The 22,959-nt window shown below is 43.0% G+C and overlaps 2 protein-coding genes across 11 annotated transcripts in view, besides 1 other annotated feature; one reads left to right on the top strand and one right to left on the bottom strand.

The window, feature by feature from the left end:
• Positions 1 to 19,530, top strand: part of RRN3 (RNA polymerase I transcription factor RRN3) — a 34,314-nt gene extending 14,784 nt beyond the window's left edge. Inside the window, exons 9-17 of one of the 2 annotated variants that reach the window (NM_001301064.1) lie at positions 2,902 to 2,994; positions 4,691 to 4,829; positions 6,472 to 6,602; positions 8,301 to 8,431; positions 9,298 to 9,482; positions 11,275 to 11,383; positions 14,181 to 14,333; positions 16,269 to 16,356; positions 17,647 to 19,530. In NM_001301064.1, the coding sequence (NP_001287993.1) occupies positions 2,902 to 2,994; positions 4,691 to 4,829; positions 6,472 to 6,602; positions 8,301 to 8,431; positions 9,298 to 9,482; positions 11,275 to 11,383; positions 14,181 to 14,333; positions 16,269 to 16,356; positions 17,647 to 17,808 (1,191 nt within the window). In that variant the 3' untranslated portion in view covers positions 17,809 to 19,530. The remainder of the gene's footprint in view (positions 1 to 2,901; positions 2,995 to 4,690; positions 4,830 to 6,471; positions 6,603 to 8,300; positions 8,432 to 9,297; positions 9,483 to 11,274; positions 11,384 to 14,180; positions 14,334 to 16,268; positions 16,357 to 17,646) is intronic. The other variant, NM_018427.5, reaches the window with a different exon arrangement.
• The window catches only part of PDXDC1 (pyridoxal dependent decarboxylase domain containing 1), a 178,484-nt gene that overhangs the window by 73,667 nt on the left and 81,858 nt on the right, over positions 1 to 22,959 (bottom strand). The gene's annotated exons all lie outside the window — the stretch shown is intronic.
• Positions 17,183 to 17,383: a silencer, noted in NCBI's record as "peak2507 fragment used in MPRA reporter construct". NCBI's record gives its function as "represses an SCP1 promoter by STARR-seq MPRAs in K562 erythroleukemia cells {active_cell/tissue: K562}" and the evidence as "EXISTENCE:reporter gene assay evidence [ECO:0000049][PMID:32103011]".

Genomic DNA, 22,959 nt, shown 5'->3' with positions numbered 1-22,959 from the left:
TGTGCATGTGCTGGGAGTTGTAGACAGTTCCTTCTCATGATTGGAGAACAAGGCGTTAAATACATAGTTATCCAAATGTAAAAGTATGGTTGTGGAAAATGCTATGAATGAAACATACATTATGAGTTAGAGAACCTGATAGAATCACAGTGGGGTCAGGAAGGGATTCTTACGGAAGTGATTTTTCCTGTTTGGCCTTTCTTAAGGGCAGATTATAATTATAAACAGTTAAAACTTTGTTTAAGGAGGCCCGCACTAAGGTGCAGTGGGAATGAAAGGAAGTAGTAGATTCTAGTGACATTGTCAGGAAAGATGAACTGGTGCTTGAGACTGGTTTGGAGGAGGGGAGGCAGACAGTAAGGGAAAGGAATCCTTCAACTTTGCTCCCTGTGGAATTGAATCTTGGTGTTGCCATTAATGGTAGTTAGAAATATGAAGAGGAGGCCGGGCGTGGTGGCTCACGCATGTAATCCCAGCACTTTGGGAGGCCGAGGCGGGCGGATCACGAGGTCAGGAGATCGAGACCATCCTGGCTAACATGGTGAAACTCTGTCTCACTAAAAATACAAAAAATTGGCCGGGTATGGTGGTGGGCACCTATAGTCCCAGCTACTCGGGAGGCTGAGGCAGGAGAATGGTGTGAATCCGGGAGGTGGAGCTTGCAGTGAGCCGAGATTGCGCCACTCCGCTCCAGCCTGGGTGACAGAGCAAGACTCTGTCTCAAAAAAAAAAAAAAAAAGAAAAAAATACGAAGAGGAGGCAGTTGGAAGAGTAGTTCCATCTTGGCCAGGTTCAGTTGCTGGTGGGCAGCCTACCAGAGAATACTCACAGGCAGTCGTGGCTGCAGATGGGGACCTGAGCATAAACCTTTGGAAAGATGCAGTTTAGGACAGGGGAGGAGAAGGGTGATCAGAAGTATGGGGAAAACCAAGAGCCTGGATGCTCAGGAAGGATCCGCCGGAAGGAGGAGTTTGGTCAGCAGCATCAGATACTGCTGTCATTTTTTAGAAAGATGAAAAGAGCAACAGTCCTTGGATTTAGTGGTTAGAAGGTAGTCTTTGTTGCTTTCTGGAGGACCATGTCAGTGAAGACGCAGAAACTGCATTTCGGGAGAGGATGTGGATGGTGGGGAAGCAGAATTGGGGCTGTTAGAGACCTTGGTGCAGGGTTGTGGTGGAAGGAGGGGATGGAGCAGGGCTAAGAGGCGTGGTTTAGGAGTGGAGAGACGTGAGCAGGTTTGTGGACTGAGGGGAGAGGAGCTTTGGTGGAGGAAAACATTGATGCTATAGGAAAGCAGGAAGATGGAACAAGGTCTCAGAAGAGCTGGAGCTTGGGCTCACTGGTGCAGTGCTCACTTGGAGTTGCACCTCTCTGGCCAACTGTATATGTACTCTTTATAGTCTTTCTCTGGTATATACTTAAGGAACATTTTAGAATGTTTACAAAGAAGGTCAAGCATAGATAATAAAAAATGGCATGGTTTGAGTGGTATGTTAAGATATTTGAATGGTGATATACCAAAATAAATATTGCATCATGCACATTTGGCTGGCAGTTCATCATTTTTCTGCTCAGTTGATTGACGATATGTTTATTACACAATGTGTCTGTGAGTGTCTTGTGCATAGAGATTGTATTAGTCCATTTTCACACTGCTGATAAAGACATAGCTGAGCCTGGGAAGAAAAAGAGATGTTTTTGTTTGTTTGTTTGAGATGGTGTCTCGCTTCTTGCCCAGGCTGGAGTGCAGTGGTGCGATCTCGGCTCACTGCAACCTCCACCTCCGGGGTTCAAGCAGTTCTCCTGCCTCAGCCTCCTGATTAGCTGGGATTACAGGCACATGCCACCATGCCCGGCTAATTTTTTGTATTTTTAGTAGAGATGGGGTTTCACCGTGTTAGCCAGGATGGTCTCAATCTCCTGACCTCATGATCCGTCCACCTCGGCCTCCCAAAGAGCTCGGATTACAGGCGTGAGCCACTGCACCTGGCCAAAAAAGAGGTTTAATTGGACTTACAGTTCCACATGGCTGGGGAGGCCTCAGAATCATGGCGGGAGGTGAAAGGCACTTCTTACATGGTGGCGGCAAGAGAAAATGAGGAAGATGTAAAAGTGGAAACCCCTGATAAAACCATCAGATCTCTTGAGACTTATTCACTATCACGAGAACAGTATGGGGGAAACCTACCCTATGATTCAAATTATCTCCCACCAGTCCCCCCCCAGCAACATGTGTGACTTACAGGAGGAGTACGATTCAAGATGAGATTTGGGGCCAGGCGCGGTGGCTCATGCCTGTAATTCCAGCACTTTGGGAAGCTGAGGCCGGTGGATCACCTGAGGTCAGGAGTTCGAGACCAGCCTGACTAACATGGAGTAACCCCATCTCTACTAAAAATACAAAATTAGCTGGGCACAGTGGCACATGACTGTAATCCCAGCTACTCGGGAGGCTGAGGCAGGAGAATCTCTTGAACCTGGGGGGCGGAGTTTGCGGTGAGCCGAGATCTTGCCATTGTATTCCAGCCTGGGCAACAAGAGCAAAACTCTGCCTCAAAAAAAAAAAAAAAAGTGATTTGGGTGGGGACACAGAGCCAGACCATATCAGAGCTAGAATAAATGTTGAATTTGTTGAGGCTGCCTGGCATAGAGCATCATGTGATAGTTGTCGATTTTATATAAGTATGTAGTAAAAGGGGCTTGGTTTATTATATTTAAATTCCTTCATGACCTAGGTCAGTTTACAGGCTTGCACCATAATTGTGTATTGTGTTGGGGTGTGATATAAGGCACTAATCTGGACACCTTGAACATGCGTATATCAGATGAATTTCCATCCCAAAATAACATAGTTGTATTTTTTAAATCCTTTTATTCTTTTTTTTTCTCCCTTTGTTATAGGTGAATGCATCCCGGCAGGGTATTGAAGATGCTGAAGAAACAGCAACTCAAACTTGTGGTGGGACAGATTCCACGGAAGGATTGTTTAATATGGTTAGCAGTTTATTAATGAAAGTGGAGATGAAGTTTATCATAAAGGGTGGAAACAGCTAGTGCTGCTCATCTTTGTTAAGGCTTTAGATTGAAAGAATTAAAATAGTTCAGCAAACTTGAAAACGATTCCTTATATGAGTAATTTGCTGCCATGTCATTTAGCACTTAGCATAGTTGGTCTATTTCCAAGGCTTTGAATTTGGGTTTGGTGAAGTATGTTTCACTTTTGTTCTTGTAACTTTCAGTGTTTGTTTTTGTAAGCCAGATGCTGTCTGTGAGGGCGTGGTTAATAGAAAAGCATACCTGTTTAATTTCTGCATTTTACCACTTGTACACTTTATAGCATTACTTCTTTTGGGTGGTATCTGAAGTTGGGTTCAGTGGAAGGAGAGTCTGAGACAGGGATTCAGGTGCCCTTGGGACAGAGGGTGTCAGGGAGCAGAAGAGGGCAGGGGAGCTAAACGGGGGCCGGGTCTCACTTGGGAGGTCGCTACAGCCTGCTCCCACCAGGCATTCTGGGGCATGGATTGGTCTACAGAGTTTGTTCCCAGCTTGAGACCAAGGAGATGTCCTTTTCTGATGCCTTGTCAATCAGTCATTGGTTCTAAGGGGGAGGGGCTGGAAAGAGTGCAAGGGTGGTCCTGGCTCCTTTCTGCTCAGGGCAGCTCTGGAGAAAGTAGGCGGCTGTGAGCTATTGGCCGCCAGTACTCACAGCAGTGGGGAGGTGGATATCCCGACCTGCAAAAGGGGGCCCGGCACCAAAAGCACCCGCCATGGTGGGCACCAGGAGCAGAGGTAGGGGGCATCTGTGATTTTTGCATGGATAGGTCTCATTGGGTCTTCTCAATGAGAATCAGAAGCTGGTGCTGTGAGTCTTGGCTTTTATTTTAAATTTCACTGGTGGTTCTGATTCACATCCCTGAATGAGACCCCTGCCTGGAAAGGTGTCTGCATTTCTTTCTTTCTTTTCTTTCTTTTTTAATTTGAGACAGGGTCTCACTCTGTTGCCCAGGCTGGAGTGTGGCAGTGTGTGATCTTGGCCCACTCCAGCCTCGACCTCCTGGGCCCAAGTGATCTGCCCACCTCAGCCTCCCCGAGTAGCTGGGACTACAGTGTACCACCGCACCCAGCTACTTTTTTTCTATTTTTGTAGAGACAGGTCTCACTGTGTTGCCCAGGCTGGTCTCAAGTTCCTGAGCTCAAGTGATCCTCCTGCCTTGGCCTCCCAAAGTGTTGGTAATTATAGGCGTGAGCCACTGTGCGTGGTCCATTTCTTTGTTTTAGTTTAGTTTTTTTTTTTTTTTTTTGGTGGGGCACAGAGTCTTCCTCTGTTGCCCAGGCTGGAGCACACGAACTCGGCTCACTGTAGCCTCCTCCACCTCCCAGTTCAAGCTATTTTCCTGCCTCTGCCTCCTGAGTAACTGGAATTACAGGCGTGCACCACCATACCTGGCTAATTCTTGTATTTTTAGTAGAGACAGAGTTTTACCATGTTGGCCAGGCTGGTCTCAAACTCCTGACCTCAAGTGATCCCCCCACCTCTGCTTCCCAAAGTGCTGGGCTTATAGATGTGAGCCGCTTTCCCCAGCCTCTTTGTTTTATCTTTTAAGGGAAATAATCACTTATGACAGTTTTCCTACTAAACCACTTTGACATTGAATTTTTTAATGTTAGTATTTACTTTTTGTCTTCAAAGGATGAAGATGAAGAAACTGAACATGAAACAAAGGCTGGTCCTGAACGGCTCGACCAGATGGTGCATCCTGTAGCCGAGCGCCTGGACATCCTGATGTCTTTGGTTTTGTCCTACATGAAGGATGTCTGCTATGTAGATGGTAAATCACAGTAGCTACTGTTTATTGAACACCTGCAGTGTACCTGGCTTTGTGCTGGGCATTTTCCATCCATTATCTCTAGTAATACTAAAAATCCTGTAAAAATATCTATTGAGTATGAGTTTAAGATGATTTAAAGAGGTCAAGTTACTTGCCAGTCACATAGCTTGAAAATGGGACTGGGATTCTGGCTGAGTTATATTTGTCTTCTGTCTTTTCACTGATTGTTGTATTGAAAGATTATATATGGAGTTTGGCCAGTTTTAGATCAAATTACGCTCAAGTTGCTGAATGCACTGAAGAATGATGTAGGGTGCACTAATATATGGTGCTCCGTTATGTATTGAGTTTAGAGGGTCTTTGCCTGGCACCATTGTTGTGCCAGTGTTAGTACTATATGTGCTTCTTGACTTCATGGAACTTTAAAGGCTTTGCCAGGCGAAAACAGAATTTTTTTCCATTCACATTGCTAAGATTTAAGATGAGCTCAGTGAGTCAGAATAATAGAACTGGAATCTGAGTTGACTGCATTACTGTTTTAACGGTCTTGCTGTTATAAAAATAATACATGTTGATTAGAGAATTTGGAAACTACAGGAAAGGATAAAAACAATTTAAATGGCCACATTTCTACTCTTCAGAGAACCATTGTGAGCATTTTGAAGTTTGACTTTTTTCCCTTTTCTGTTAGCGTCTGTATATGTAGGAGAGTATTTTTTAGTGAATTTGGGTGTCACACTAAACACAAGTGTTTCATAATCTGCCCTTTACATGGATGCTGAAGATAAACATTTTCTCATATCATTGCCTGTTTTAAAATAATTGTTATTGAATCCCAGCACTTAGGCCAAGGTGGGAGGATCACTGAGGCCAGGAGTTCAAGACTAACTATCCTGGGCAACATAACAAGACCCCATCTCTAAAAAAAAAAGTCGTAATAATAAATGTTGTTGGTCACATGGGTTTAACTGTCTTTTACTGTTTTCACCATGATAAGTAACAGTTATAATGAACATACTTGTGCCTATATATTCAGCTGTTTACTAACAGTAAAATGATCGGATTAGAGGTCTTTTGCTACACGAATGATAGAATTGCTCTTCAGAAGGGTTTGCATTTCTGACCTTGCCACAGTGTGTGAGGTGAGGGCCTGCTTCCTTGCAGGTGTTAGATTATTATATTCAGAGGAAAATCTGTGTAAACTAAAAGTAGCATTTTGTTTTAATGGTATTTTAATGGATAATGTCTGTCTTTCTTTTTTTTTTAAATAGCCACGGTCTTACTCTAACCCAGGCTGGAATGCAGTCGCACAAACATGGCTTACTGCAGCCTTGACCTCCTGGGCTCAAGCGGTTCATCCGCCTCAGCCTCCCATGTAGCTGGGATCACAGGCGTGCCACCATGCCTGGCTAATTTTTTGATTTTTTGTAGAGACAGAGCTTCCCTGTGTTCCCCAGGCTGCCCTTGAACTCCCGGGCTCCCTCTCACTTTGGCCTCCCAAAGTGCTGGGATTGCAGGCAGGAGCCACTGTGCTTGGCTGGATAATGTTGTTTTTTAATGGTGTTGTGTTTATAAAAAATATGGCAGATGAAACTTGAAAATATGTCTTTATAAAAACTGAGATGCCAGATTTTCTCCATAGGTAAGGTTGATAACGGCAAAACAAAGGATCTATATCGCGACCTGATAAACATCTTTGACAAACTCCTGTTGCCCACCCATGCCTCCTGCCATGTACAGTTTTTCATGTTTTACCTCTGTAGTTTCAAATTGGTGAGTAAGAATGTGATTAACATTATCTTAGCTTACTTTGTTTTTGCCCAAAAATTTTCCCTAAAAACTGGGGTGGACGGAGACCATGAAGTAAATAATTCTTTTCTTTGAGCTTACTTGCTAGTCTGCTTAATAAAATCGCATTCTCCTTTCTTTTTTTGTTTTCTTTTCCTTTCTTTTTTGAGACACAGTCTCGCTCTGCTGCCCACTGCTGCAACCTCCACCTCTTGGGCTCAACGGACTCTCAGTCCTTACCCTCTCGATAGCTGGGACCACAGGTTACCATGCCTGGCTAATTTTTGTATTTTTAGAAGAGGTGGGGTTTCGCCACGTTGGCCATACTGGTCTTGAACTCCTGACCACAAGTGATCTGCCCGCCTCCTGCCCCGCAAAGCGTTGGGATTACAGGTGTGAACAACTGTGCCTGGCCCACGTTCCCTTCTCAGTACACTTGGAGAGAAAACAGATTGCTGCCTGCCAGCCCAGCTAGGTGCTCCGAAAATGTCATCCTGCCTTTTGGTCACTAGGTGGTGCTCTTCCCTTAAGCCTTTCTCTATTAAAATCTCATATGGGGTAATTAACTGTATTTCCTTTATTCTTTCCAAGGGTTGAGTTGTAACTAGCCCAAACCAACTTATTAATCTAGAATTTTAAAAACTTTAGGCTTTGTCTTTTCTTCTTCTTCTTCTTTTTTTTTTTTTTTTGGTGGGGGAAAGAATGTAGAAGGCTTTTCCTTCTCTGCAACGATTTTGTGGCTTCCTAGAGATCAGGAGAGTGTTGGTCATGGGAAAGAAGGTTGAATTCAGTCTGCCCACATGGGTGTGCCTAGCTTTAGAACAGCGCTATTTAGGAGAAGTTGGAAGTTACACCCTTTGGTGAGAAGCTGTGTCTGTTTTTTTCCATGATTGGCATAATTAACTCAAATACCAGCTGTGCGTTAGTCCGTATTTCTGTTCGTGGTTGAGTTCAGTGTGTCCAGAGACCGGAAGGTGCTTTGCACTCACAGGAGTGCCCATGTGGAGCTCCATGGGATGTGAATTATTGTTGGTCACCAGTTCTGGCTGACATTGGAATCACTTGAAGAGTTTTTGTAATATGTGGATTCCAAAGCCCTGTCACAAACCTATTGAATTTGTACCTCCCAGGTTGAATTTTTTGTTGTTTTTTGTTTGTTTGTTTTTTGAGATGGAGTCTCACTCTGTCACCCAGGCTGGAGTGTAGTGGCATGATCTCAGCTCACTGCAACCTCTGCCTCCTGGGTTCAAGCGATTCTCCTGCCTCAGCCTCCCAAGTAGCTGGGATTACAGGCACCTGCCACCATGCCTGGCTAATTTTTGTATTTTTAGTAGAGACAGGGTTTCTCCATGTTGGCCAGGCTGGTCTCGAGCTCCTGACCTTGGGTGATCCACCCGCCTCGGCCTCCCAAAGTGCTGGGATTACAGGCGTGAGCCACTGTGCCTGGCCCCGGGTTGATTGTGATGCTTAGCTAGGTTTGGGATCCACTGGATTATTTAACACCCGAGGTGCCTTTTGTTTTTAATGATATTCTCTCAATGTGTTTTAAAAATGAAGCCCATGAGATAGTTATGAGATAGTAGAACTTTTCCCTACATTGGTGAAGTAAAAATCTTGGGATTTTGATAGCCAGATTATCTTAGGCATTAAAAAAGATCACACCGACGCCCTCTCTTTTTATAGGGATTCGCAGAGGCATTTTTGGAACATCTCTGGAAAAAATTGCAGGACCCAAGTAATCCTGCCATCATCAGGCAGGCTGCTGGAAATTATATTGGAAGCTTTTTGGCAAGAGCTAAATTTATTCCTCTTATGTAAGTAGCCTAATTTTCCGAATACTTTTTAATATCATGCTTTAAAAAGAGTATAGCATTGTCTCAAGTCAGAAATATCTCCCATTTTTTTTGGCATGTTTTTAAAGTGAATAAAATCCCTACTCTGTGCAAGATGTTTATATTTCTAAGTGGTGATTTTAGAATAAAGTGTCTCCTTTTTTATATATAAAACCCTGTATGTAAGGCTTTTGTCATCTCTTTTGGTTGCACTTAAAGATCCATTTGTTTTGTGGATAGAGGACAGTGTTGTATACTGTTTTGATTCTTTTTGTAGGTTTGTCATTTTTTCATTTGCATTCCAAATCTATTGTATCTGTTAAAGCTGAAGAAAAACCCTTTTAAAGGTAATAGACCTATCTAGGAGGCCAGTTTCTTCCAGTGGCCCATAAAGATACCTTTGGACAAGGATGCTGTTGAAACCCTTCCCCAACCACAAAATTATTCACCATAGGACTTGACTAGGATGCATCAGGGAATACTGAAGTCCACCAGACTGTCTTTCTCTTGAGAGGTGTTGGTGAACGTGTCCTGTTTGGCCAATCACCTTAAGAGGGGTGCCTTTGAGATGGTTAGGAGAACCTGCTTTCCATCCCTTGGGACGTTCTTAGGGGCTCACCTGTTCCTAGAAGGTCAGAGCTACTCTGCCTTGTAATTGGAAGGTTGTCTTCCTACGCACCCATCCTTATCCTTCCTTTCTTTGCTTTTCCTCTGTACCCATGGGTATTATTTAAAGAAACCTATGAACTTACTTAGCATGGTTTGTAATGAAAGGCAGTTGTGTGTTTTTATGTTATTCTGGTTTTTTTATGATGTGTAAAGTTGACTTGAATTTTTCTTTTCTCTAGTACTGTAAAATCATGCCTAGATCTTTTGGTTAACTGGCTGCACATATACCTTAATAACCAGGATTCGGGAACAAAGGCATTCTGCGATGTTGCTCTCCATGGACCATTTTACTCAGCCTGCCAAGCTGTGTTCTACACCTTTGTTTTTAGACACAAGCAGCTTTTGAGCGGAAACCTGAAAGAAGGTCAGTGTTGTGGGAGTGCTGGACTGGATTTTCCTTGTGTTCTTGTCACCCTTCAGAATGGTGATTCATTACTTTTTTGAGATTTTTATAAAAACTGGATTCAGAAAACTGCATGTGCACTCAAACTTTTAATAATAATTTCAAGCAGCTCATAGGCCCCTACAAACCCCTTAAGATAGATTTGAGCTTGAGAACCCTACAAACCCCTTAAGATGGATTTGAGGTTAAGAAAGAGGTTTCTGCCTTTGAAAGTTTGAAATGTGAAGATGTCTCCAGAGGTGAGGCTGAGCCCTGGGCTGTGCCAGCGCCCTGTACAAAGCTTCAGTTGGATGCACCTTCTCTTTGTTGTCCTTGTAACAGCCCAGTAAATGGCAGGTATTCTCCCTTTACAGACAGCACTAAAGCACAGGAAAGTCATTTTCCCAAGATCACATGGTTAGTGGCAGGATTAGAAAACTGAAGCCAGGTTTGGCTGACCCTAAAGTTTGAGTTTATATAGATTAAACTCTGCCTGAAGCCTTGAGACTTAATTGACCAGTATTGTTTTGCTAATTTCTAAGAGTTACTTATAATTCAAATCTGTCAGTTGAAACTTATTAGATTAGTGTATTTTAGTTGAAGAGAGTCTCCAAGAACAGTGTTTATAAGTCATTGTAAATTGTTCTGTTTATGTTTATGAATAATTCTTATGGTTTTGTGGGTCACTTCCTCTAAACCGGGGTCTCTGAACCCTGCACGATTGCCATTTGGGCTGCATCATCCTTCATCGTCGGGGGCTGTCCTCTGCACTGTAGGATGTTTAACAGCCTCCACCTACTAGCTGCCAACAGCAGTCCCCGACCACCCCCAGCTGTGACAACTAAAAGTGTCTCCAGATACTGCCAGGTGTCCTCTGCGGGGGTCGCAGTCTCCTTGGGTTAACAGCCACAGCTCTAAACTGAAAGTTGTATGTGTTGCATTATATATGTTTACCTACATCCTACATGCTTCTAAAAGATGTTGTATGAACTAGTAGGATGAGGTTTTATCACAAGGTAAGTAAATACAAGCTCTGCTTTTCTTTGTATAAATTAATGCCAGGAATCTGGATTAAATATCTTGTTTTTGTAAGCTGTGACATCCCATTTAGGTAATTTTTATTGAAATACGTATCAAAGAAACTCCTAAGAAAATATACTTAAGTACAAGTTGGTCAGCTTGCCTCTTAAAATAAATGTGATGTCTTTATTTTACTCATGTAGAAAAGAATTATATTCATTAAGTCTAAGAAAGTGGTTTCTGTCTAAATTTGCCGTCCGTTGAGGTAGAAGGCAAATTTGGAGTTTTCTTGTTTAGAAAAAAAACTACAGATGACTACTGTGCACCTGAAAACAGCACTCAGCTTCACTAACAAGACATGCAAGCTAGAATCAAATTGCTGTTTTGTTTTGTTGCCTGTCATGATTGTTAGCTGAAACCAAATCACAAGGTCTTTTCTCCCTCTGTATTATCTCAGCATACACTGAGCTTGCAAACATATGAATTTCACATTGTCGTGGAATCTTACAGCCTGCTACTTCCTAAGTTTTCTTTAGAGAAGCTGCCTTGGTGACCAATGAATGTGGTTAGCCTAGTGATACTCTTCTGGGCCATATACTGTGTGACTATCTGCATGGACCTTTATTTAAAGCATTTCTGCAAATAATTTTTTAAAGTTTTTTTTAAATGTGTGATAATTTGTGCTTTTAAAAGTATCTTACACTTTTCACTTATTTGTACCTTTAAAAAAATCTTTTTTTTTTTTAAACCAAAGGTTTGCAGTATCTTCAGAGTCTGAATTTTGAGCGGATAGTGATGAGCCAGCTAAATCCCCTGAAGATTTGCCTGCCCTCAGTGGTTAACTTTTTTGCTGCAATCACAAAGTAAGTTATTTACGCTTTCTTGATGGGAGTTATTTAAAATATTTTTATTTATGTTTATCTAGTATTGTAAGAGTGTTAAATTTCTATGAAATTAGTAACATTATAAAAGGCCAGGCGTGGTGGCTGACACCTGTAATCTCAACATTTTGGGAGGCTGAGGTGGGAGGATTGCTTGAGGCCAGGAGTTAAAAGACCAGCCTGAGCAACATAGTGAGACCCTATCTCTACAAAAAAATTTTAAAAATTAGCTGGGTGTGGTTGCCTGTGCCTGTAGTCCCAACTACTCAGGAGGCTGAGGTAGGAGGATCACTTGAGCCCAGGAAGTCAAGGATGCAGTGAGCCCTGATTGTACCACTGCACTCCAGTCTGGGCTCCAGAATGAGACCCTGTCTCTTAAACAAACAAAAACAACCCAGTCCTTGCAGGAAATACTGTGATACAGCTATTGTTTTTATACTTTGATGGCGTTGGAAATTACTACTACTTCTTATCCAAAGGGCAGCACTTTGAAATAAGTATGGCAACCAGTAAGCTGAGAGGGGCAAAGCCATAGATGCTTATTAGAGTGACTCCTGTAATAGTAATAGAAATAAACTGGACATGAGGCAAATGTTGACCTGTAAGAGATTGGTTTAGAGAGTTCTGTTCTCTCAGGTCTGGTAGCTATGGCTAATCCATAGCCTTTCCTCTGTGCCAGGCAGTTCTAAGCACTTTACATAGAACTCATTTGATCCTCTAGGATGAAACCCTGTTTATCAACAGGGAGGTGGAGGTACAGAGAGGTGAAATCACTTGCCTAAAGTCATAGAGCTAGACTGGCAGCACAGATTTAAATGTAGTCTGGCTCCTTTGTAAGCTTTCACTAAGTTATTCTGCTTTATGGAGAAAGCGAATTGGAGAATTGAATATTCAATGAGGATATTTAGGCCGGATCATAGCTTAAAATCTTCAACAGATAAGAGCCAACAGCTTGCTGAGCTCCGTCAGCCTCTTTAGTTCTCCTTTGCTAGGCGTCTGGTTCAAGGTGTCCTCTCTTCTGAGTCTCAGTGATAGTAAAGGATTAGGAAAAGGCATAAAGAGACCAATAAGCAACGGCAGTGAGTGGGTGGAGGCTTCAGCACGTTGGTTAAGATGGTGAGCAGCTCAAAGAGTGAGGATGGATGAAGCAAAGCAGAGGCCGCTGCCCCTGGTATGTTCTCGGGGTGGGGACAGAGGACTGCATTTGTGAACCATCTGGTCCAGGGGCTCTCGATTTGGGGTTGGCATGCGCATTGGAGGCACAGAGTGTGATGCGATGTGAGGCTAAGAGCAGGGGATTGAAATAAAAGTCTCTGCCTAGGTACAGATATGGTAAATAAAGGCGTGTACCATTCTGTAGCTGTTGCTTTTGCCTGCTTGATGCTTTTGAGATTGAACCATATTGACACAAAGCTTTATTTTGATTTTAACTGCTGTGTTATGTTCTGGGAATCTTTTTTATTGAGTCTTTGTTGGGATTTCATCTGTTAGTTTTTGTCTTTTTTTTTTTTTTTATTTGAGACAAGGTCTTGCTCTGTCACCCAGGCTGGAGTACAGTGGCGTGATCTTAGCTCACTACAACCACCACCTCCGAGGCTCATGCAGTTCTCCTGCCTCAGCCTCCCGAATAGCTGGGACTACAGGCGCCTGCCACCACGCCCAGCTAATTTTTGTATTTTTAGTAGAGATGGGGTTTCATCATGTTGACCAGGCTGGTCTCAAACTCCTGAGCTCAAGTGAACCGCCTGCCTCAACCTCCCAAAGTGCTGGGATTACAGGTGTGAGCCACCGTGCCCAGCCGGCTGTGTTAGTGTTTTAGTGCTCAGGAACATTCTTGTGTGTGGGCACATGCTTCCTTGTCACACACCCGGAAGTGCGGTCAGCTGCGGGGTTGTAGGAGATGCAGATCTTCAACTTTACCTGATAGTGCAAACCACCCTCCAGTGTGGTTTTGCTGATGTGTCCTCCACCAGGAGGAGGGGTCAAGTGCTGTGAGCCTTGGCTAACAGGACAGAAATCAAAGTATGTGGCTTGAAGTTGCCATGGTGACCTGAGAACCTGAGATGGAGAGTGACAGAAGTGAGATCTGAGTCCTCATCTTGGAGAAGCTGTCCAATAGATAATTTTTCAAGTTGCTCAATCATTTAGAGACAACTACTGGAAAAATTAAAAACATAATTGTCTTTATTTTATGTTTTCTTCTATGCATTTAACTGTTCTCACTCGGCATGCCTAGTCCTTTCTGTGCCTGTTTTTGAGGTCATGACTTAGTCAACCCCGTGTCCCTCCTTCAGTAAAGGCTTATTTCTTTTTCAGTGCTTCTTCAGCAAGTCTCTTCACCAACCACTATTTCCTCCTGAGTAACTCCTGAATCCCTTTACCACCAACCTTCTAATTCTTTTGCAAACAGTAAAAATAAAGACACCTATAGTTACGTAATCTAAGAGTTTTGCCTTGCAAACATTTATTTTTAATGAATAGTATCTATTACTCATTAAAATATAATGAATAATATCTATTACTCATTAAAATATAAGCCCAGTTTCACATTCTGAGTGATAGCCACGTTTTCTTTCTCCTTAGCAAACTTGCAAATAGAAGACCCATAGAACGGTACCCTAAAAGTGTTACTTTCTGCTTTATATTGTTATTTTTACTAGCACTTGTTATATTCAGCAATTTCTCTGTGGTAGGTACAGTTGTCACACGCAGCTCACATCTGCACCGAGTCACTCCAGCATGTTAATGCCTCTGTCTGTGTTGTTTTTTTGTTCCACAGTAAGTACCAGCTCGTCTTCTGCTACACCATCATTGAGAGGAACAATCGCCAGATGCTGCCAGTCATTAGGAGTACCGCTGGAGGAGACTCAGTGCAGATCTGCACAAACCCGCTGGACACCTTCTTCCCCTTTGATCCCTGTGTGCTGAAGAGGTAGGTACTTTTAAACATTGACGCTGGAGGAGGTGGATTTTTTTTTTTTTTTTGAGACGGAGTCTCACTCTGTCGCCCAGGCTGGAGTGCGGTGGTGTGATCTCGGCTTACCGCAAGCTCCGCCTCCCGGGTTCACACCATTCTCCTGACTCAGCCTCCCGAGTAGCTGGGACTACAGGCACCCACTGCCACGCCTGGCTAATTTTTTGTATTTTTAGTAGAGACGGGGTTTGACTGTGTTAGCCGGGATGTTCTCGATCTCCTGACCTCGTGATCCGCCCGCCTCGGCCTCCCAAAGTGCTGGGATTACAGGCGTGAGCCACCGCGCCCGGCCAGGAGGTGGATTTAAACGTGATACATGTTTGCTTTTCCCAAAATTGGGATTTAGGGCTCTTCACCAGAAGTGGCCCTTCCTCGCTGTTGATGAGCATCTCGTGGTCTCCCTGCGTATATTTCACCAGATGCAAAGTAGAGGATGCCTAGCAGGACTTGCCGAGTGGCGCAGGCACCCCAGAGTGGGTAGATCTTTGCCTCACTAGGAGCCAGACTGACATCAAGGGTTTTTTGTTTTTTGTTTTTCTTTAAACTGTTATTTAAACATGTAAGGTTAATGGGGATAATGGTGCCAGGATAGGGGAGGGTGCTGTCTTTTCTTGCTTCATAATTTTCTGCCAAGTGTCTTGTTCCTTCCTCTAGAGACCACATACCATTCTGTTGCACAGGATAAACGAAAAACAAACGATTGGCTGGGCGTAATGGCTCATGCCTGTAATCCCAGCACTTTGGGAGGCTGAGGCGGGCGGATCACTTGAAGTCAGGAGTTCAAGACCAGCCTAGCCAAGATGGTGAAACGCTGTCTTTACTAAAAATACAAAAATTAGCTGGGTGTGGTGGTGGCGCCTGTAATTCCAGCTACTCGGGAGGCTGAGGCAGGAGAATCTCTTGAACCCGGGAGGTGGAGGTTGCAGTGAGCCGAGATTGCACCAATGCACTCCAGCCTGGGCGAGAGAGTGAGACTCTGTCTCAGAAAAACAAAACAAAAAAAAAACAAAAAGCGATTTATCTAGATGAGTTGTTCTAGAAAACCACTGGGCCAGCCTTAACTTGGCACTTGTATAAGGAAGCAGGATTTTTGCTTATTATGGTTTCTAAAATAACTAGCAGCATCATGACCATCTGGGATTGTCTGGTCCCTGAAGTCTTGGTTGACTGAAACCAGATTAGTTGTTTTTCCTAGACTTACTTTTCAGCAAATTACTACAGAAATATAAAAAAGAGAGTTCCAGAATATTACGGTTTCATTTCCATTTGGATATACTGTATCTAACTGACTTGTGAGTCTTTGTAAAGTTTAGAAACAATTTCACATGAAAATGGAAAGATGAAAAACGGTAGTTCAATACTCCATCGACATGAGTGAATGAACTCTTATACAGAAAGAGCCACATTAGTTACAGCATTTACATAGAGGGTTGTTTTTTTGTTTTGTTTTTTTCTTTTTTTTTTTTTTTTTTGAGACAGAGTCTTGCTCTGTCTCCCAGGCTGGAGTGCAGTGGCGCGATCTCGGCTCGCTGCAAGCTCCGTCTCCCAGGTTCAGGCCATTCTGCCTCAGCCTCCCGAGTAGCTGGGACTACAGGTGTCCGCCACCACACCCGGCTAATTTTTTGTATTTTTAGTAGAGATGGGGTTTCACCGTGTTAGCCAGGATGGTCTCGATCTCCTGACCTCATGATCTGCCCACCTCAGCCTCCCAAAGTGCTGGGATTACAGGCGTGAGCCACTGCACCCAGCCAGGTTTTTTTTAAATGTAATTATTTAAGCTGTAGTTTTCACTTCTTGGTTTTGGGTAATAGATCTTGTGAGAAAAGATCCAAACCAATTTTGACTTCTGCCGAAGTATTTAACTTGACTTTGAAATGTGATCTTTGTTGACAGGTCAAAGAAATTCATTGATCCTATTTATCAGGTGTGGGAAGACATGAGTGCTGAAGAGCTACAGGAGTTCAAGAAACCCATGAAAAAGGTCAGTTTGTGATTGATTGAGCACACTCTCGGAATCTCCTTTCTGGTTCCAGGTCACAGTGAGATAGTAAGTGGCAAGTCGTTCGTGCGTGTAATCCCCGCACTTTAGGGGGTCAAGGCCAGAGGATTGCTGGAGACCAGCCTGGGCAACACAGTGACACCCTGTTTCTACAAAAATTTTTTTAATTAGCTGGGCGTGGTGGTGCACACCTGTAATCCCAGCTCCTCTGGAAGCTGAGGTGGGAGGTCAAGGCTGCAGTGAGCTGTAAATGCAGCATGGCACTTCATCCTGGGCAACAGAGCAAGACCCTGTTTTCTTTAAAAAAGCACACCAAAACCGTGTCTTACTCATTCTGCCTTTATAAAATTCCAGGCCCAGGTTTTGTTGTTATTTAAAGAGTCTATGGCTTTTTTGGATAAATTGCTTAAACCAGACACTTCACATACTGACATGTGAGAAGCGAAGGTTAATTACAAATTAGCTGAATGAATTTAGATCTTTGCCACTTGCGCATTCTTACCAAGTAACAATCTCCAGTTGACTCATGTTGAAATTGCCCCAGCAGTTTACATTAGTTTTATAGATCTTCATGAATGGGTGGTGAAGACGCAGGTTGCAACATACCCTCCAGGTCACATGAGGTGGAGCTGAGACAGTTACAGTTAGAGAGGAAAGTTAGAATCCAGTAATAAAGAATTTCGCTGCTCTGTTGCTTGGGAGCACATTTGTTTTCTCATTAAAAGCAGCTTCAAGATGGCTTTTTTGTTGTTGTTTTTAATAAGTAATCATTGGAAAGCCCCTTTCATCTTTTTCTTTATGTTTCATTTGTTGAGGGGCGTGTAATTCATTCACATTGTGTTAGGTACAAGAGTTCCTAACACTGGGCAAGAATGACTCGTCATGTTTCCTGTCCCCATTGAGCTTCAAATCTGTTTGCAAGTCAGACTTGAAACAAATGATTACAATGTGTGATGAGCAGTTATGTGGGTATGTTGGTAAGAAGGAAGTGCTTATCAGAGGGAGCTTTTGTTCTGTTCTGTTTTTCTAGAGACATGGTCTCGCTATGTTGCCCAGGCTGGATTCGGAACTCTTGAGCTCAAGCAGTCCTCCCACCTCCACCTCCTGAGTAGCTGGGACTACAGGCGTGTGCCACTACACTGGCTTTCTTTTGAAATTAAGATATTTTCTTCACCATCTTTACAAACGTTAACACCTTCCTGAGGAAGGAATTGTTGAAAGCTTTTCAGTCAGCACTGGTGATGTTACTGATGATTTCTGATGTTTCTGCAGGACATAGTGGAAGATGAAGATGATGACTTTCTGAAAGGCGAAGTGCCCCAGAATGATACCGTGATTGGGATCACACCAAGCTCCTTTGACACGCATTTCCGAAGTCCTTCAAGTAGTGTGGGCTCCCCACCCGTGTTGTACATGCAACCCAGTCCCCTCTGACGGCAGAAATTTGTGACTGAGATGTGACATTTGGGATTCCCCATCACTTGTCATGCCCTCAGCACCCAGCTTGTGCCATTGGGCATTGATGGCATTGAACTAGAGCGAGTGCCTGCCTCGGCTGTGGCACTTCCAGGTTCGACTGAATCAAGCATCTGAAGACTGGGTTTTTTTGTTGTTGTTGTTCCCCTTACAGACAAAATGAAGACTATCATGTGCAATCTTTTACAGTGGGGTTGATGATACATTTGGAAGGATTTGCTTGTTTAATATGTACATTTTTTGTGTTAACAGCTTTTTGACACAATTACTGGGTAATTTCTAATATAGGCAGCAGACTGTTTTACGGGTTGCTGTTTTAACATGGGTTTTTGTCAGATCCATGGTCTTAGGACTTGACTGATGAGCTTTCAGTGAAGAATCCTCTAAGATAAAACTTCTATTTAAAGACTTTAACTAGAAAGTGTTTATTTTGGCTACATTGTTCACCTTCTGCTGTATTGGTATTTGTCTGTTGGGATTTCAAGGGAGTGTAGAGAAGACAGAAGGAAAGCTGAGAGCTGGCCCGACATGGTCTGGGACACAGAGTTGGAGCTGGCACTGAAGATCTCCAGGGACTTCAGAGACCAATAAAAGCCCATAGGGAAGAGAGAGAGGATATAGGGAAACAGAATCAGATGTGTAATATACTTGGCACAGCGAAAAAATGGATTTAAAAGACAAAAATGGAGGTCCAGGTAGATGTAATTCACACAGACTGAAAGTGAGTTCGGGCTTGTGTAAAACACATGAGATTGGATTTGACCCCTTGGCTCTCAAGTGTCCCCTTAGATCTAGAACTGCTCCTTGGTGGCCATTAGATCGAGTCAGTTTTGATCTGCATCACTTAGTTATTGGGAATTTCTTTGTTGGAAACAGGAAAATTTTTTTAGATTATTTGGTGTACGGTTTTGCTCACAACAATAGGTGGAAGTTGCTAGTGCAGTCTTGGTCTGATGGCTGTGTGCATCGCACATTCGGCTTGGTGAAATCCTTCTCTAAAGCCTCTTTTTGTATTTTTATAACTAAACAGAGGAAGTCTTCAGAAGACCTCGCTTTAAAACAAATTTGTGCAAACACTGCTAGAGTCATTTTGAAGCTCAAGCATTTTCACTTTGTTTCTTACATGTGTACTTTTTTGTTTACTTGTGAAAATGGCCATCTTTAAGCATATTTATTTTCTGCCACTTTATTTAAAGGCAAGCAATATTTTCTTGATCATAAATATTTTGTAATGAAATACTTCCTCTTTTCCAGGGCTTTGTATGCACTTGTATAATTACATTGATGGCAATGTAGAGTTTGAATTTCAGTCTGTAAATACTTTTTTGGAAAATAGAAATTTTTATTGCTTTAAAGTTTTGGATATGGGTGGTTTTCTTTTCCGGGTTTGGTGGAAAGTAATTTGAGAACTTTAAGGTTGTCTTTTTAACTGCTGGCAAAATGTTGATTTTTTAATATTAGATAAAACGAGTAAACGAAATTCCCCAGAAATTAGTAGTAAGTGGGGTCTTTGTGGGTTGGGAAGTAGTTTTAATGTAGAAAGACATTTACATATAAGTCTGTTTAATTTCAAAGGAGTTTGTGAAAAAAAATCCATGGTGAAAATGAAACAATGACATGGTTAATCTGGAACTTACGTTCTTATACCAATAAAAGGTACCTCAATACATGTTCTTTCAATTTCTGTTTTGTTTTTTTTTTTTTAATTTAATGTATTAAAGCATTTTGCAGTGGAAAACTCCTGAGGCATTGCTGTTGAAGAGGGAGAAATAGTGCTGGTGTGGCGGGGAGCTTGATGGAATTCATTGCATGCCGGGGTGAGGATGGTTTCCGTGTGCACTATATGAAGTATCCGCGACTCTCCTTAATCACACCCAGCAAAGAGTGATTGAGGCTTGAGCAGGTCCAAGGGAAGCAGACACTTCTTTCAAAAAGTTACATGCTTTGAAGGGACATCTATGGGGAAAAATACTGTGAAATCTCCTTATAAATTACATGCCAACAATGGGAATTTTTCCTTTCACTAAAAAGCTGTCAGTTGTAGGAGTCTCCAGGGTCTGTCCTTTTGTCTGTGTGCTCTGGTTTGGTCTTCCTTGATGAGAAGTGGCTGAATTTTTACAAGTCAACTTACCAAGTGCCATGGGCTTCCTTTCCTAGCTAGCTGTTTGACGTTGAGCAAGTTACCTAACCTCTCTGAGCGCTAATTAAACTGTAAAATGGGAATAAGATACTAGTGTAAGGCTTTAAGGATTCGATGCATGTACAAGTTAATGGCTGTTGTTTTCTTGCAAGAAAGGAAGCACTTCCATGGGAAGTTTTTTTTGGTTAAAGATAACTTCTATTTCTTCCATAATACCTACCTCCCTGGTACCAACTTAGATCTGAACTGGAGAGGAGGAACCAGCGTGTTTCCCTTGCCGGGCAGTGCTTACGATGGTGGTTCTTAACCCTGGCTGTGCCCTAGAATCAGTCCCTTGGAGTGCTGAGAAACTAAGGATGCCCAGGCTCACGTCACACACCAACTCAACCTTTGATTGAATCAGTCTCCAGAAGAGGGGTCTGGACATGGATGGTTTTTAAAGCCCCCTGGTGATTCGAAGGTGCAGGCTGCCTTGAGAACTGTTCATTGGTGTACAACTGCATACTTTTCTTGTTTCAACTAATTGAACATCCAAAGCTCCACCATGTTTTCTTCCATCAAATGCTTTTGTGTGTTTCAGTCTGACTCTGGATGGTTGAGTAGGATTTATAATGTATCTAATAATTTGGGGCCAGGTGTGGTAGCTCATGCCTGTAATCTGAGCACTTGGGGAGGCCAGCAAAAGGATCTCTTGAAGCCAGGAGTTTGAGATCAGCTGGGGCAACATAGTGAGACCCCCATCTCTACATTAAAAAATTTGAAACACAAATTGGGATCCTTTCACTAAATATTTACTAAGGTTCTGTATAATGTTCATCATTCTTTTTTTTGAGACAAGAGTCTCACTCTGTCACCCAGGCTGGAGTGCAGTGGTGCAATCACAGCTCAACAACTGCAACCTCCGCCTCCTGGGCTCAAGTGATCCGCCCACCTCAGTCTCCTGAGTAGCTGGGACTACAGGTACGCACCACCATGCCTGGCTAATTTTTGTATTTTTAGTAGAGATGGAGTTTCACTATGTTGGCCAGGCTGGTCTTGAACTCCTAACCTCAAGCAATCTGTCCGCCTCGGCCTCCCAAAGTGCTGGGATTACAGGCGTGAGCCACCATGTCTGGCCTCAAAAAAGTGTAATTTAAAAAATATTTCCCTGTATATATTCTTTGAACTTTGCCATCAGCCATCTTGTGAGGCAGGTTGGTTTCCTATCTTAAAGAAACAGGCTTTCCAACATTGTAATTAGTGCTTTCTTTTTCTTTTTCTTTTTTTTTTGAGACGGTCTTGCTGTAATCACCCAGGCAGGAGTGCAGTGGCACAGTCGTGCCTCATTGCAGCCTTGACCTCTAGGGCTTGATTGATCCTCCCGAGTAGCTGGGACTACAGGCCTGCCACCATGCCCAGCTAATTTTTGTATTTGTTGGAGAAGCAGGGATCCCTGTGTTGTCCAGGCTCGTCTCGAACTTCTGGGCTCAAGTGAGTCCTCCTTCGGCCTTTCAAAGTGCTGGGGTTACAGGCATGAGCCGCAGTGCTGGCCACACACCTGCTATTGCTTCCTCATTGCCTGTAGACCAAAATTTGTGGAGCTGGGTGGGAAGAGAGGTAGGGGAGTGGTTTCCTGCTTGTTATCTGGCTCATTTAGTCCTTTAACACAGTACTCAGCCTAGGAGATTGATAACCTGAGATTACTTGAAAAAAGATCACCCAAAAGTGAAAAACCAGTTAGGCAAACTGCACCAGCCCCAGGCAGAACCCACAGAACCTTGTTCTTCACCTTTGCACTTCCAAATGCCTCACTTTGATTGACTACTCTTTGCTCTGCAATTCCAATAATAGCTATCTTTAGTGTTTAGTATGTACCAGGTGAAACAAACATGCTATTCTACAAAACCAGTTCAGGGAAGTTAAGTAACTTGCTCCAGGCCAGCCTGCTGGTCATTGATCACCCTGGTTTCAAACCCTGTTTTTAGCTCCGAGCTTCCTAGTTGGGACTTACTTAATGTCACCTGCATTAGAATGAGTTGTTTACAGTACAGTCTAGGAGCATCTTATAGTGATGGAGAGCACTGCCTTTGGAATCATGCAAAGCTAGGTTCAGTCTTCGTTCTACTACTTATTTCTACCACTTTGAGCAAGTTACTGTATCTGTTATAACGGAGGTGTTGATAGTAGCTCCTACATTTGTGAGGACAAATGACAAATGAGGTGTTGATAGTAGCTCCTACATTTGTAAGGACAAATGAGAAATGTAGGTGTAATAATACAGAGAAATAATTTCCTGGTAGCTAGAAATAGAGTTATTTTGGGTGAGAAGTTGGGTAACCTGGCGATGGGAACACCATCTTCTACAGTCATTTCTTTAGTAAATTTCCTGGTATTTTTGTTGAACGGGGTGTGTAAGCTGAGGGGGAGATTTATGAAAGAAGACGATGAATACAGATGATAAAATTCTAATAAAGTTTCTGCTGTATCATGTGGCTCCTCTGTATCTTTTGTAAAATTACTTTTTGTTAATGTGCTGCAGAGTTGGATGAATTTGAGCAATATTTCCAAGTTTTAGAAGAGAGCTCCACGGTGAGACGCCTCTCACCTTGGGGACCTGTCCTCAGATTAGGGGCTCTGCAGTCAGTATCCGCAAATCCTTCCCCCACGGTTCCCAGCCCACCTGTGAGTGGCCTATTGCATTCCAATCACGACGTGTTAATCGATGATCTCTTTAGTACGTGGGGCTAGCACAGTTCAGGATCTATTTTCTCAGTTTAAGACCGTTTACATTTATTTTTATTATTTTCAGAAACAGAGTGTCCCTCTGCAGTGCCCAAACATAGCTCATTGCAGCCTCCCACTCCTGGGGTCAAGAGATCCTCCCGCCTCAGCCTACAGAGTGGCTGGGATCACAGGTGCATGCCACCGTGCCCAGTTAATTTTTAAATTTTTGGCAGAGACGAGGGTATGGGGGAGGGTGGGTCTCACTA

Source organism: Homo sapiens, chromosome 16, assembly GCF_000001405.40.
Source record: "Homo sapiens chromosome 16, GRCh38.p14 Primary Assembly".
Lineage (NCBI taxonomy): Eukaryota > Metazoa > Chordata > Mammalia > Primates > Hominidae > Homo > Homo sapiens.
The sequence above is the reverse complement of the archived record's forward strand: the minus strand, read 5'-3'. Positions and strand labels throughout refer to the sequence as shown.